The sequence below is a fragment of the Homo sapiens genome, chromosome 12 (genome assembly GCF_000001405.40).
Source record: "Homo sapiens chromosome 12, GRCh38.p14 Primary Assembly".
NCBI lineage: Eukaryota > Metazoa > Chordata > Mammalia > Primates > Hominidae > Homo > Homo sapiens.
This window is the reverse complement of record NC_000012.12, coordinates 118,183,198-118,199,487: the sequence shown is the minus strand read 5'-3', so window position 1 is coordinate 118,199,487 and position 16,290 is coordinate 118,183,198. Positions and strand designations below refer to the sequence as shown.

The 16,290-nt window shown below is 37.7% G+C and overlaps 1 protein-coding gene across 12 annotated transcripts in view, besides 1 other annotated feature; it reads left to right on the top strand.

Annotated features, from left to right (window-relative positions):
• Positions 1-16,290, top strand: part of TAOK3 (TAO kinase 3) — a 223,107-nt gene that overhangs the window by 173,420 nt on the left and 33,397 nt on the right. For 6 of the 12 annotated variants that reach the window (NM_016281.4, NM_001346493.2, NM_001346492.2 and 3 more), the window contains 2 exons: positions 231-437; positions 9,547-9,681. In NM_016281.4, coding sequence (NP_057365.3) covers positions 231-437; positions 9,547-9,681 — 342 coding nt within the window. Of the gene's footprint in view, positions 1-230; positions 465-8,952; positions 9,682-16,290 lie in introns of those variants that run through there. The other 6 variants (NM_001346487.2, NM_001346490.2, NM_001346497.2 and 3 more) reach the window with 3 other exon arrangements.
• Positions 8,830-9,124: a silencer, noted in NCBI's record as "tiled region #13893; K562 Repressive non-DNase unmatched - State 16:ElonW". NCBI's record gives its function as "represses a minimal TATA promoter and a strong SV40 promoter by Sharpr-MPRA in K562 cells {active_cell/tissue: K562}" and the evidence as "EXISTENCE:reporter gene assay evidence [ECO:0000049][PMID:27701403]".

The following is a 16,290-nucleotide window of genomic DNA, read 5'->3' as shown; positions in this document are numbered from 1 at the left end:
AGCCTTATGACCCACGTCCAGAATGGCCCCTGGGGAAGGCATAGGAAGCAAATATGAGATGTATGAAAATGGTGGAGGAGTAGTGGAGCCAGTACATAAAAAGTTTGTCTTTGCAGATTGGCAGAAAAGCAACTTGACACTGCAAAATTGAGTGTGCTTGACACTTTTGTCAATGGATTGACTCTTTATCTTCAGTCTTTTTTTCTAACCTCAGTGCCCCATTTTTACAGGACAGTGAACATGGAACCAGCCTGAACAGGGAAATGGACAGCCTGGGCAGCAACCATTCCATTCCAAGCATGTCCGTGAGCACAGGCAGCCAGAGCAGCAGTGTGAACAGCATGCAGGAAGTCATGGACGAGAGCAGTTCCGAACTTGTCATGATGCACGATGACGAAAGCACAATCAATTCCAGCTCCTCCGTCGTGCATAAGAAAGTAGGTTTCTTGGTACCCTCCACAGAGGTGAGCTTTGTCAATCATAGCGAATCCAGTTCAAGTCACTTAGCTTCCAGATGTTTCAGTTACCTTTTTGCAACTGCAGTGTGGTACTAAACCTGGCATGTGACAGTTTTCTTACAGTCAAAAAGTAACAAAGGACTACACAGGCTACATCTGTGCCTATTTCTTCATCTCCCTCTCTCATTACTCTGATGTCCATCATCATCAATAAATAAGTTGAAGAATTTGATAAGTCCTTCTCTAAACCAATAATCTTAATACTGTAGACCTTCAAGTCTTCCTGAGTGTACCTGTTGGTTGTGCCCTTTTAGAAGTATGCTCTTTCAAAAGTATGTTTCTTGGCTGGGCGTGGTGGCTCACATCTGTAATCCCAGCCCTTTGGGAGGCCTAGGCGGGTGGATCACTTGAGGTCAGGAGTTTGAGACCAGCCTGGCCAACATGGCGAAACCCCGTCTTTACTAAAAATACAAAAAATAGCCGGGCCTGGTGACATATGCCTGTAATCCCAGCTACTCGAGAGGCTGAGGCAGGAGAATTGCTTGAACCCAGGAGGCAGAGGTTGTAGTGAGCCGAGATCGCGCCATTGCACTCCAGCCTGGGCAACAGAGTGAGACTCAAAAAAAAAAAAAAAAAAAAAGAAGAAGAAGAAAGAAAGAAACTTGCCTCGGGTAAAAGGAGGACTTACTCTAGCAGGGAGTAAGAAAAGCCTACCTGATGAGGTGACATTTAAGCAGAAATTTCAAAAACAAATAGAAGCTAGCCAGCTGGGGTAAGAGATGGGGATGAGTCAGAAAGCAACAAGTACAAGAGCACTGAGACAGAGAGAGCTTTGTATGTTCAAGGAAAAGGGGAAGGCCATAGAAGCTATGGCTGGTGTGCTATGTGGACAGTGCCTCAGGACCAGAGAGACAGCAAAGGACCCAGATTATCAGGAAGACATGGAAGCAATTTGAGGAAAGCAAAGATGTCAGACAGATGCAGAAATCTACCAAGAGATCAGCATTGCCAGCTGGTGTCCTTTCAACATGGGCAAGTGATCATGTATTTGAAGAGTAAAAAAGAAGGTTTTGAGGCCAGGCGCAATGGCCGAGGTGGGCGGATCACGAGGTCAGGAGATCGAGACCATCCCGGCTAACATGGTGAAACCCCGTCTCTACTAAAAATACAAAAAATTAGCCGGGTGTGGTGGTAGGCACCTGTAGTCCCAGCTACTCGGGAGGCTGAGGCAGGAGAATGGCGTGAACCTGGGAGGCGGAGCTTGCAGTGAGCCAGGATTGCGCCACTGCACTCCAGCTTGGGCAACACAGTGAGACTCCGTCTCAAAAAAAAAAAAAAAAAAAAAAAGAAGGTTTTGCTGGGCTGTCTTTTTGGAGGGAGTGATCATGAGTGCTGACAGGTCTGGCACTTTCCTTTCTATTACCCCTGGGGCTCTATGAGTAGAGGGGGCAAAAGAGAGGAATTCAGTTGGATCTTTTTGCTCCAGGACTTCTCAGATAGGCAACCAGAATTAGAAGAAAGACACTACTGGCATAATCAACAAGAAAGAAAACCCTGGTCTAGAACTAATGGGATTTTTAATTTTATTTTTGCATGCTGTCATAGACCTACCTTGTGATAATATGAGTGTTTCAATACTTTTCTCTCCCTGATGTGTGATGACTTAAGTAGAACAGATAAAATTTATATTCTGAAGTAGAAGATAATTGCATTTGATCCACAAAAAATATATAGGTCAGGAAGAATTTAAGTTATATATTCCTATTTTATCATGAAATATATAGAGGAAATATGATGGAAGAAAATCAAAACACATTTGCAAATAAAACTTTGGATGAGTTACCTTTAAAATGTAAGTGAGCTCAAAAAATAGAATATATATGAAAACTTAAGATATGGTATCTTTTCATGAAATCCATTTAGTTCTTGTACCTGAGCTTTAAAATATGTTATCTTTAAAAACAATAGAAATAAAAATTATTCATGAAGTTTGTATTGGATGGTTTACTCAAATTCCTAACACTTTTTCACTTGGGAACATAAATAGGATTTTTAACTCTCAACAGAAAATTTTGTATATTAAACTTAGGAATGAGGAAACTAATTTATAGTTCTATCTGCCTCTGTTAGTTTTATTTTACTTTGGACAAATAACAAATCCAATACCTAGAATAGTGCCTGGCGCAGCATAGATGCTCAGTAAATAACTGTGGAATGAATGAATAGACCAACAAAACCAAAAAGAAGGCAGGGAATAAATTAATTACCAAATATTAAATATCATACTCTACTGGTTCATTGAACATAATGGATCAAAAGGATTAAATAATCTTAGCTATCTTTACAGTTTGAGAAAGTTAAATAATAGTTAAATGAAAGTTAAATGAGTACCCAACACAATAAGAACGTGCTTAATAAATACCAAAATATATGAATATGGGAGAAGGAATCTTTTGTCCCTTGATTGTTATAATCAAGCAGATATATCTTTTCTTTTCTTTTTTTAATTTTTGGAGACAGAGTCTCACTGTGTTGCCCAGGCTGGAGTGCAGTGGTGCAATCTCGGCTCACAAGCAGACATATCTTAAATTAGTCAAATTAATTTGACTGGTAGTCAAAACAGATCTGAAACAGATTACCATTTTAGATAGGAAATAAATTTGCTTTTTCAAAGAAGGACCTTAAAAAAATAAATAAAATGAAATCCATGAGTAGCTAGTGAGAGCATGACTTGCACTTAACTGCTCTGCTTCCAGAATAAAGATGCCCTGATTTTAGCAGGACAGTTCTACCACAGATCAAGCCCCCAAAATGCAAAGTGGGACACTGAAAATTTTCCTTTGACATCAGAATTCCAGGTTACTTACTCTCCAGTCCTTGCCTCTACTCTGGTCTTTCCCAGGCCCTGAGGGGATCCTAATCCAAACTTCCTTTTATTTATTTATTTATTTATTTATTTATTTATTTATTTATTTATTTTGAGATGGAGTCTCGTGCTGTCGCCCAGGCTGGAGTGCAGTGGCGCGATCTCAGTTCACTGCAAGCTCCGCCTCCTGCGTTCACGCCATTCTCCTGCATCAGCCTCCTGAGTAGCTGGGACTACAGGCGCCTGCCACCACACCTGGCTAATTTTTTGTATTTTTAGTAGAGACAGGGTTTCACCGTGTTAGCCGGGATGGTCTCGATCTCCTGACCTCGTGATCCACCCTCTTTGGCCTCCCAAAGTGCTGGGATTACAGGCATGAGGCACTGCGACTGGCCCAATCCAGTCTTCTTTTTGAGCAAGAATGATTTGATAAGGCTAAAGGCATATTCTGACAAAATAAATTTTAGGTACTTATTTTTCCCCCTGGCTAGTGTTGCCACACTACTTTTTTCAATAACAAGAACATCACCACATCTCTAGACTGGTAGTTCTTCAGGAACCTTTTTTTTCACCTACCACGTAGCACAGTGTCTGTTACATAGTAAGCGCTCAACAAATGTTCTGTGAACTAAATTGAAGATGGCCAAGGACACAATTCCACACCTCAATTCTTGATTATTCACAAGTGACTCCGGTACAAATTTTTAATCCAGATTGTTTCCTTGTCATCTAGCCTGCTTCTGAGCCTTCATCCTACTCCTTAAAATCATTGTGTATAGAGCCATAGCAAATAGATTTTAATAATATCCTAAGCAGCAAAGTCTGTCTTTTAAATTTGTTAATCAAAAGGTGTATTTTTATTTTACTAAAGTATAAAATTAATTCCCTTTGCCTGTTGCTGCCTTCTATTAGTATAGATCATAAGACTTTAATATATTAAAAGCATTGTTCTTGAATCAGTGTTATTTTAGGTATGCTTATTGAACGCCAGTCATAAGGGTCCCTTTCTAGGGATTATTTAGAGAACATTTTTTTCTTTTTTTTAATGGGACAACACTTCATTCTATAAAACAGAATAAGTGTTCCAGAAACTATTGTTTAAAAAAGTCATTCTACTGGCCAGGCACGGTGGCTCACACCTTTAATCTCAGCACTTTGGGAGGCCAAGGCGGGTGGATCAAGAGTTCAGGAGTTCGAGACGAGCCTGGCCAATATGGTGAAAATCTGTCTCTACTAAAAATACAAAAATTAGCTGGGCGTGGTGGCACGCGCCTGTAATCTCAGCTACTCTGGAGGCTAAGGCAGGAGAATTGCTTAAACCTGGGGAGGACAGAGGTTGCAGTGAGCCAAGATGGTGCCAGTGCACTTCAACCTGGGTGACAGAGCAAAGACTCCGTCTGGTGGAGGGGGAAAAAAAGCCATTCTACCCTGACTCCTAAAGCTTTATTTGACCCTTCCTGTTAGTCAATGTTAGTTCTTTTCCCATCCCCTCTTTAAAAAAAGAACAGCTTTCACCACCTTTGCGGGATAAAAAAAAAAAAAAAAAAAAAAGAAATGTCCTTGAGGGAATAGGATGTTCTAGTTTAATTTTCACTTGCTTCAGTGGCCTTTCCTATTATTTTTGCTGAATAGAGGGGTGGGTCCTTTGCCTCTTCAACTCACATTTGGCAAAGTAAAAGTAAATTAACATATGAAGGTAATGTTTCTTAAACAGAGCAGTCATACAACACTTCTCTGTAGTAACGTCTTTCTCCTCAGCCTTTTGCTAGTCATCTTTTCTCTCCAACTATCCTTCCAAGTTAAGATATGCTTTTTCATCTTCTCCTCCCCTTCCTCCAGCCCCAGCTTTTGATAGCTACCCCTGCTTCGACAATAATTTAATAATTTTGAAATGAACAAAACAAAGGAGAGTGGTGGGTCTGCTGATCCCTTCTCCACAGCGTAGAAAGTGTGGGAGTCTATACAAAGGTTTCTCATCACCGGATAAGAGCCATTTTTAGATACATCCCCCCGCACCCCGCTGTGTAAAGGTGTGCTTATGTGTGTGTCACTATTTTACGACTTCCTTAGAGTACAGAGTGGCAGGTTTTTATGAAATACAAATTTGAATTCTGTTAAATAATCCAAAAGAAAATGTCATTTTCTCAAAATCTCCTCAGACCTATATTCTTGTGTTTGTTTATTCAGCAAACATTTACTGAATACCTACTAAGTATCAAGCACTATGCCAGGTGCTAGGGAGACTAAGATTTTTCAAACGACATTTACTCTGCCTTCAAAAAGCCCACAGCCTTATGCAGAGGCAGACAAGTAAGTGTGATGAGTACTGTGATAAAAGTAAACCCAAAGCACAACTGAGTCCAGAGGAGTGATTCCTGGGTTAAAGTCAAGTTCATTTAGAAACTGTAGGCAAGTAGCCAGGCACGGTGGCTCACGCCTGTAATTCCAGCACTTTGGAAGGCCGGGGTGGGTGGATCGCTTGAGCCCAGGAGTTCAAGACCAGCCTGGGCAACATAGTGAGACCCCAGCTCTATTAGGGAAGAAAATATATTTAGAAAAAGAAACTCTAGGCAAGTGCCTAACCACGAACCTTCATTTCAGAAGTGTAATGGTCAGACACTTAAAGGAAAGACTTCCAAATAAAAGGAAAGCCCCTTGTCTAAGGTATAATAGTAAAGTTTGTGTGCCTCATGCTTCACATGTTTCACTCTTGTATAGAAATTCAATTCTTTTTACCAAAGATCTTGAAGAAACATTATGACAGCTTCCTTTTTAATCTGAAGAAATTTATTTTTTATGATGAAACAATGTCGTGGGCTGGGTGCGGTGGCTCGTGCCTGTAATCCTAGCACTTTGAGAGGCCAAGGCAGGCAGATTGCCTGAGCTCAGGAGTTTGAGACCAGCCTGGGCAACATGGTGAAAACCCATCCCTACTAAAATACAAAAAAATTAGCCAGGTATGGTGGTACGCACCTGTAGTCCCAGCTACTCAGGAGGCTGAGGCACAAAAATGAACCCAGGAGGTGGAGAGGTAGCAGTGAGCCGAGATAGTGCCACTACACTCCAGCCTGGGCAACAGAACGAGACTGTCTCAAAAAAAAAAAAAAAAAAAAACAACAACGTGGTAAGTTTACCAGGTTAACGTAGGTTTACTTAAAACTGGTATTTCAAGGAGTTATTTTTGTTTTTTCCTGGATGATAATGTTTTAAAGATAAATTATAACCATGCCATATATTTTGCCTTGGCAAAGTAGAATAGATTTATTCTTCTTAATCTTCTAAAATCCTTCTTTGAAGATTTCAGCCTTATCATTTGTAAATAATCTGTATCTAGTGCATAACTGCATAAAAATAGAAATTAACCCTTTCCATTGTTAATCTTAAGATGTGTGCAGTTCAGAAACTCTGGGAGCCAGGTATAGTGGTCTCTTACAGAGGCACTGTTACTTAAAGGGGCAGTATAACCAACAGAAAATATTTCCAGTAAAGTTGATACTTTAATTTCTTTGAGCTTACTTCTCAAGTTACATTCTCCCATTTTTAAATAGCTTCATAAGCTGTCTTTGGAGTTTTGAACCTGTTTTATGCAGTGGAACTGAATATTAAAATTCATTTCCCAATGCACTTGAAATGAATATCCACTGTTAGACTAAAATTTTGTTCCATTTTGTGGTCTCTTGTATAATATTTGAAGACCTTTAGTGATAGTGATCTCTGTTATGAAAATGATCTGGAAAACTAAGAATAATTTTATAAAAGGAAAAAAATGTAGGGGGAAGCAAAGAATTATACTATTAGCATTATTATATTTAAAGTGGGTTAAAATTTTGAACCTATTCTTTGGACTATAAAAATAGCATTATTTTAAAAATATACTTGAGTTACTTAATTACATATGTGTCAACTAAAATCAATGTCATTTCAAGTTTTAATTTTTCCGGTGTACTTCAACTTCCTCAAGTTTAGTAAACTTAGAAAATACATTGTGGCTTTTAATTGGAGAAGCAGAGCCCTAAACCGTGTTTCTAAGGAGTTAATTTTTATCAGAGATAAAACAGACTAAATAAAATTGCACATATTTGTACATGAATAAATTTTGTTTTGGTCTGCCCTGTGGAGAATGTGGATTCTAGTGTCATTGGTTATCCTTATAAATCAAGTTATTACAATGTGAAACTGAACTGTTGCCCATGTATTTGGGGTCTCCCCCTCTATCAATGTACTTGGTAAGTTAGCCAATTAATATTCACCAAAACTACGACTTGTTAAAGCCTCCTATAAAATCACAGGCCTCTACCTAGCATATCTCTTTTGATTACTGGCATTTAAGAGCTGCTTGCTTTTCTGGCACTGTAATATTAAGTTGAATTTTGTACATAAATTTATTAGCAAATATGCAGTAATGTAAATGGTAGCAGGTCCCAGTGCCTTCCTCTTTAGAACCTTAAGCCTAGTGAATGAATCCCAATTACACACGTTCTCGCTCTTCCCTGTAAAACAGGAGTTCAAATTTCGCGAGAAATCATGTAGAATAATTTTAACTGACCTTTCAAATATTTTCTTATAAGTTTTAAAAACTTACAAGTTTTATAAGCCACCAATATGGCACCACTAACTATGGCTACTAAGTGCTTGAAACATAGCCATTATGACTCAGGAACTCAATTTTGCACTTAATTTTGTTTTAATTAATTTTAATTGAATTTAATTTTTAATTAAAATAGTCATATGTGGCTGGTCACTATCTTGCTGGACAGCGCAGCTGCAGAATATACGTGAATTTGATATATATGCCCTCAATGGCAAGTTTATTAAAGATCCCTTCATTATTTGAGCTATAATACATAAATTTAAAACAATTCTCCATATAGGTGTAATGGTAGATACCTTCCCAATACATCAAAGCATTTTAAATGTATAAAAGGAAAAAGAAAATCAGCCCAATTTAATCTTGGGTCTTGGCTTTTACATAAAAATCTGGATGTAAAATTTAATTTCTCCCCAAATTTTGGACTATAATAAAATTTTGTATTTTCTAAACTTCTTTAATTTTTGTTTCCTGATGAAGAAAAAAGCCATTATAAAAAATTTCAAGTGGTCATGGATAAAATGCAATACTGACTTCTCACAAATGGTTTTCCTAAAACCCTAGGGAAATAAGGAATTAATTTCTCCTTTTCCACCCTGAACATGTACTATTTTAAAATCCCCCATGGTTGTACATGTTTTTGAGGTACAAATTACTATAGCGTCCTTTTTTCTAAAGGGTTATAGCCACTTAATGACTGACCACTACTTCATCTTTATAGAGAGGAACATCATCCTTTGAAAGCATTTTCCCCTTTAAAAGTCATTTCAGTTGCATTTAAGAAACATCCATTATTATCCTTCCAGGGAATGCTATTTTTTCACTGGACGTTAGAACAAGATTAATTATCTTTGCCTATCAAGAAGCATGGGCTTGATTAAATCAGTCAAGGACATTAAATTCCAGCTTTACTCACTCTGGTGACCATACCGATGCTGAGTTGAAGAAGAATTTGTGAACGTATCATTTGGTTAAAATTGTACGCCTGTCGCTTTAAATCTAAAAAAAAATCCTTTCAGAAGCTGTAGAGAGAAGGTGCTAGAACTGTGTACGATCATGACTGGAAAGCAGGATCCCTCAGTGACTGCCGAATCTTCCCAGCACAAGATAGAGAGGCAGTTCAGCACAAGCCTACATTGGTTCTAGGCAGAACGATGATCCTACCGAACAGATCTCAAATAAAATTAAATTGAGAAAGCAGATCTTTCAAGGGAATGAGGCGGAGGCTCGCTTTTATGTTAAAAGCCACCAGCATCCTCCTTGCTAGACATGGACATGACATTTTTAAAGGAATTATCTGGTTACAGCGTTTTAAGCAAACTGTTCTAAGGAGTCTGTACATTGCATTATTTTTTCTATTCTTTTTTTCTTTTGCATATATGTAATTCTGGAGGTAAAGAAAAAGCCTGCCAGGGATTCAGAAGGCATCCCACTAGCGATCAGCTGACATTCCTAACTGAAGGCTGCAATGTGTTGCTTATTCATTTTGTACCGTGGGAGCTGCGGGGACTAGCAGAGAGCTAAACTATGCATTTCAAACAGCAGTGCTTGTGCAGAAAGAGGGGTGAGAGAGAGGCAGCCGGCGAGGAAAGAGCACAGCTGGACTTTCTCCTTGTTTTTATCCATTTCTGCAGGATCATGTATTCATAAGGGATGAGGCGGGCCACGGCGATCCCAGGCCTGAGCCGCGGCCTACCCAGTCAGTTCAGAGCCAGGCCCTCCACTACCGGAACAGAGAGCGCTTTGCCACGATCAAATCAGCATCTTTGGTAAGCAAACACCCCTCTACCCACCTTCCCTTCCTTCCCCTCCTCCCCATCTGGCAGCCTCTCGCCCTCCCTGAGCCTGTCTCGGCTTCATGGATGGGAGGAAAGGAGTCAAGAATGTTTTCTCTCTCCTAATAATTTTATTCATTTTAGGAAAAAAATCTGTTGGCATAGCAACCTGATTTCAGATATTTTAGCATTGTGTATGGCATGGAAAAAAAAAAAAACCTTTGTGTGTGTGTGTGTGTGTGTGTGTGTGTGTGTGTGTGTGTGTCTGTGTCTGTGTGTGTTTGTATATGCTGTATGTGCAAAATATAAGGCCTTTGAGATGAAGTTGCTAGCCTGTCCAATTTTTTAAAAGCTATTTGTCTTTTCATTGAAATAAATAATGCTAAATTTTTTTAAGGTATTGATGTATATGTATGCACGGCACTGTGCTGCTTTTTGTATAGATGCATATGTGTCTATAATGTATACACACACATCAAAAGATAAAATATAATTTTAAAGAATATATGGTTGCTGGATAATGTATATAATTGTAGAAAATAAGATACTTGTTTCCCAGGGACGGATTGCTGGTTCCTTCTGGTTCATTCATTTATTTATTGCAACAATGGTAGTGGCTGCACTTCCCCATTTAACCCCTGAAGAATTTCCTGGCACCAATAAAGCAAGAAGGGCTTTGTAGGAGAGGATAGGGCTGATTGTGGAAGAAAAGAGACTGTAGGATTCTTCAGCATTTTTACTATTGCAAATGTGATTGCTGGATGCCCTTGTAGTAGCAAAAGGGGTGTGTGCTGGAAGAGTTAGTTTTCATGCCTCCTCCCCTCGGCCCCCACGCGTGCGCGTGCGCGCTCACACTCACACACACACACACACACACTCACATCGTTTCATCCTTGGCACTCTAAACTCTCTTTAATCTTTTGCTTCTGAATCTCACTTCTCAGCCAAAAAATTATTGAAATATTAGTTGTTTTGCCCAAATTAATGTTAGAGGTCACATGGGCAGGAAGAGTTAGTGTACACTGCTTGGCTATTACATTTAGAACCTATGATGACATCATCCAAGGCCGACCCAGAAATGATCATTTTTCTTGTCCTATTTTTTAAACCTGATTTCTACTTCTATTTCTCAAGTCTTTTAAAGGCTTCGATTATCTTTGAAAATTATAATGGATTATAACCTTTAAAAACCCAAATGCAAGGAAAAATGGAAGTTAAAGCACGTACATATTGCTGTGCCTGCTGCTGTCTAAAAGCAAGCAATTTAATTTAAACTGCTTATAAATAAGCCCACTTTAAAGTTCCTTTATGTAGAAGTTTCTTGTGATCTCTTTGATGAGCAATTTTTCATTTTAAAGGAATGCTACACTATGTAATGGAGATCTTAAAATGTCCACTATGTATTTGCTAATGATTGTTAGGCACCTAAAAATGTGCTTTTGAGTCTAGATAAAGCATCATAAGATTACCAAATAGTCATTGTCTTCATGCCATGATATCTGACAAAAGAAGAAATACGGTGCTTTAGAGAACTATGACTACTTACCATCGACTCTTGTGAGACTTGGACCTTTATCCAGACCCGTTCATGTTGAAATGAGTGGGGAAATGATAACAAGCTCTGAGCAACCGAGTACCATCAGTGGTTTTACATGTGAAGCAGACATTATACCAAGTGGCTTTCCCCCTCTGGGACAGGTTCTTTTTTCTCTCTTGCCACACCCTCATTCCCACATCATATATTCATGACCTCTCCTACCTCCCAGCAAGAGATTACTACAGCCATGCCAGAATAATCTCATGCTCGCATCTGTGAACTCACCCAGGGCTACTCTGTGTGTATATCAGCCATCACAGTCTTCTTCTCTGTGGATGATAAAAGCTGCTTCCCTACTATGCCACCTCAGGGCTATGGGCAGTGTCCTCAGGAACCCTCTGAATCGTACAGGCTTCCTAGTGCCCATCCAGAGAACAGCTGCAACCAGTCTCTCTAATGAAGTTTTGATTTGCTAAAAGGCCCCTGCTCCTATATTAAGTTACAAACAGAGTAGCTGATATGCTGTTGCTTTAGCCACAAAATAAGTTGTTTTTGTGGGGTGCCCTCTCTAAATGTAGTGCTTTGGGAGTCATGATTGGGATTGATGGTAGTTTACCAGAGTTCAATGGTATTTGTATCTAGTGGCTTTTAGGGAGGGGAAAAAAAATGGAAGGGAAAAGGTATGGTGTTGTATGGTTCCATGTCCCATTTTGAACAATCTAACTATGGGTATGGATTTTTTAATGTATATTACCAAGTACTACAATTCTACCCACTATATTATTTTAAAGCCTAATGCCAACAGTAGTGTATAAATGAGGACACTGGAATATCATAAAATATTTAATTTTTAAAAATATATTATGAATTCTGTTGTGTTTTATGGACCCCAGCTCAAATGAAAATGACTAAAATGACATAAAAGTAAGAGCAAGATCATGGGAAAGTGAAAGTCCAGTATAATAAAAAATCAAGTCATTGTTGAAACCTTGCCTTCTCATAGTTGGTGGCAATACTATATTTATTTATTCATTTATTTTGGTTTTACTCGTTCTTTAACATCTTCTAGTAGAGGCGCTAACAAGTCACAAAGAGGTCCAAAGGTGAACAGGGAAAAGGAATTTAGAAATTAGTTTTTCAATAACTAGATAAATAAATGATGAAATGCATATTTTAAATTTACTTGCAAACTGACAAAGATATTAGTCTTCCTAAAATTTGTTTATGAGCCTACTTCTTCAACATAAGCCTAAAAGAGGCCTGGCTTTGTGCTTTTCCCCCTTAGTATCACTTTCAACATTGTGCTTTTGAATGAGGTTACTGACAAGTATATGAAGAAGCCCATGGGCATTGGGTCTGTATTGCTACATGTCTTTATTATTTTGGCACCTTATAACTGAGATTTTTGTATTATGCACTGCTGCACAGTTGGATTTGTAACAAAGGATAAGGAAGGACTATAAACTTTGATACCAGATGAAATCCTGAGAAAACTTTAGCATTGTAACTTTTTATTACAATTGTATAATTTTTATAATTTTCTAAGGGCAGAGATTATTGCCCTTATTTTGAAGAATTAGGAAAAGGAAGGGTATTTCATGGCATCTTTATTTTAACCTTTCTTTTCCTTCTTCTGTAAGGAAGTTCATATTGGGCTCATGTGTTATCTGGAAAAAAGTTGTTTATATAGTTCTGCAGAATCACTAATCTGACTTCTTGGGCCTTTGAGATGTGCCTTCCTTGAGTTTTTATGGAGAGCCTCATATTTTAATTATATTAGTGATTCATGAGGGTGTTTTTAGCTGTTGCTACATCTGATGTCATTTCTTCTGAAAACTTTGTAGTGTCTGGGGCTCTTGGCCGTTTCTGTGATAGAGATATTAATATAAAGAGCAGTGTATCTATCAGAGTTCAGCTTTTGGTTTTGTGAAGGAATTCTCACTGCCCCTCTTCCTAATGTGTGTTCTAACACAAATTCACCTGTGACTGCATTACAGAGGCGAATTTATGTTAGAACACATGTCAGGGAGAAGGGTGTGATAGGGGAATTCCCAAGGAGGCATGTAGGAGAAAAGTATTATTGTTCTATTCATGCAAATATAGAGTCTTTTACTTCGCTTTGCCAGATTCGATAGAAAAGCTCATAGAGAGTCTTCATTTGGAGTTTTTAAAATGCACCCTAATAATTCAGCTAATTGTGAAATTGGATACGTGAATGAATTTGATACCTAAAAATAAAAATATGAGAGCCTCAGCAGTAAATGCTACTGTTTCATCCTGTTTCTAAATGCTTGAAAATGTGTTCTCTTCCTGGACAGTATACCAGAGGATGCTTATCAAAATATTGCATATCTCTTTACTTATTCTTGGCTTCTTAACTCACTAAGGTCATTGCTGATACCATTTCTCACTTATGCTGTCCAATCTACATGCCCAACCCATATGGTCAAAGTCTGTCAATAAATGTGTATTGAATAAATGAATGAACGAATGAATGAGGTCACCTCCAGCCTTGCTATCACATGAGAATTTGGATTTATAAGTTTGCATTTCAGAATTCCTCATGTAACATATTCTTTTATAAATGCAGAATTGCCTGTTATCAGTCATTACTTTTAGCAAAAATTTAAAAAACAGTTTTTCCTTAGGTATTCTAAAGAATAGAATGTTAAGTTTCTAATGCCAAAATGTGACTCACTGTATTCTTTTTAAGAACTTGCTATAAATTTCATTTGTTCTAAGTGCTGAGGTGGCCACTTTTATCATATGCATCATTTTGATTCCTACATATTATTAATCTTGTAAGTTGGCTTTGATCTCTTAAGAGGGTAACATCATCAGCCACCATGCTCTTGTTTTATGTTCAGGAAGTTGCTTATTACCCTTCTAGTGCAGTGTTTTGTACACAGTAGGGACACTCTGCACTTCAGATGAAGTGGTTTGTTTTAGGGCCGAATTTTGCTGGAATTAAATAAAGTAGCATTGAACAGCTATAGGAACCTTTAGAAAAAAAGTTTTGGTCTTCCTTTTCATGGCACATTATTTATTATTTGTTTATTTTTCATATTCTAGATACATGAAATAAGTAATAATTCAGATTCAGAAATTATACATAATTTTATAATCCACAACCTGGATACAGCTAGTTTTTTTTTTTTTCCTTAAATGTGCCCCTTCTTCTGGATCCACTTGTGCTCTGTGTCTCCATCACCAGAAATACTAAGTGGAGGGCCAAGGGACATGCTTCGCAGAGCCTGGCATCAGAAGGAAGGAAACCAGCATGTGTTGAGCATTTCCTAGGAGTCAGACACCCTGCTAGGCACTTTCACATGAGAAAGTCCTCTGACCCTGAGGAAGACAGTGGTAGTTCCTCTCTCTTTACACATTAAGAAACTGAGAGACTTTAAGAGGTTAAGTAATTTGCCCAAGGTCAATTATATAGTAAGAGATAGATGAGGTTTTTCTCCACACAATCCACTGGGTAGAGCAAGGTGGTACTGCCCACTTTTAGTTGATCACATTTTTGAGACTGCCATTGTAAAAACTACAGTTACTACATCTTTATAACTTTCTCCCATTTCAGACTTACTCAATTTGTAATTTAGACTTACCACCCTCTCTAGCTTTGACTTTTTTGGGTGTTGATTCCCTCTATTACTTTATAACAGAAAATAGTCACTCTTTTTCTGCCTTGGTGATATGAATTTCCTCAGGCAATTCAAGAACCATAGGAATCCAAGGCCTTCTAAAAATTAAAGAGGTAAATTATATGTGAAAGCACTTTTTAAACCATATGCATGAAAAAGTTATCAGCTATTATTTTTTATTTTATTGACCAAAAGGTGTATTCTTAAAACTCATAGTGTACACTTAAGACACACAGGCACATATAACTGTAAATATCATATTTTTTGTATATTTCATGTTAGACTTTTCAATTGAAATATCTGGTTATACTTTTATTTAAATTCATCTATCCAGCTTGAGCATGGAATTATAAAGCTTAGTATCTCTATATATATACCCAAAAAGACAATTTGAAACTTGGAAAGTTTAGTTGTGACAAATGAAAGGTGATATTAGGAGTTTAAGAAGGTAATTATCCACATTATGGGAAGCATTCAAAAGCAAAATGTCTCTCCTGGAATTCAGTGGTGTACAATGATAGCAGATTGAGCTCTGTAAATTTTCTTTGCCACATCCTTGTACCAGATCACCTTGTATGTGATCTGGTACAAGTAGAAAGCCACCCTCTTTACAGACACCCACCCACCAACTGAAATAGAAAATTTTCTTGACACAACTCATTTCCCTTTTATCTTTAGGCATCCTGGTTTAGGGAAATGACCATCCTGAGAATATTTTATTGGCTGTAAGCCAATGCTTATGCCAAGTTTTAAATGTGTCATGATAGCTTAGAGTGTGCCATGCCTCAGCTTTGGGAATCTGATTAAAGAAGGAATGCTAAAATAAGAAAAAGTTTCTAGCTAAAACATATCTAAAATTCATTACCCTAACCCTGATACTTTACTGCCATATTTTTCTGAAAAATAGTTGAATTCAGAAAGGACTAAATGGTATCCTTTCCATTGATTAGAATTGTTTCTTCCTTAAAGTTGTACTTCAGAAACATATAAGCGTGAAGAAGTAAAATTGATACATATATTTCAAACTACTTCTTTTCCTCCTTTCATCTTGAATTATGTCCATTAAAAAAACACATTTTCTGATAATAAAATAGATCATTTATTTTCTTTAGAGGGTTAGGTGCCTTTTGGGTGATGCTATCCTTTTTTGGTCTTAAAATATCCTCTGCTCTTATTCTTAATACTTGAAAGAGTATTATCCTTCAGAAAAGAGAAATGAATATGAAACCCAGTGTTAGTTTCAACTGGAAAGGTTTCAAAGTTTGGCTAATGTTTAATGGTGTACTTTGATAATACTATCTAGTTACAGAACAGCACTCTCTTGTTAGTAAGGACTCAATTTAGTATGCAGGGCCACCTTCTAAAAAGAGCAGAGAAACAAACTCTTCTTTGTATAAAATGTATTTTAACCCATAAACT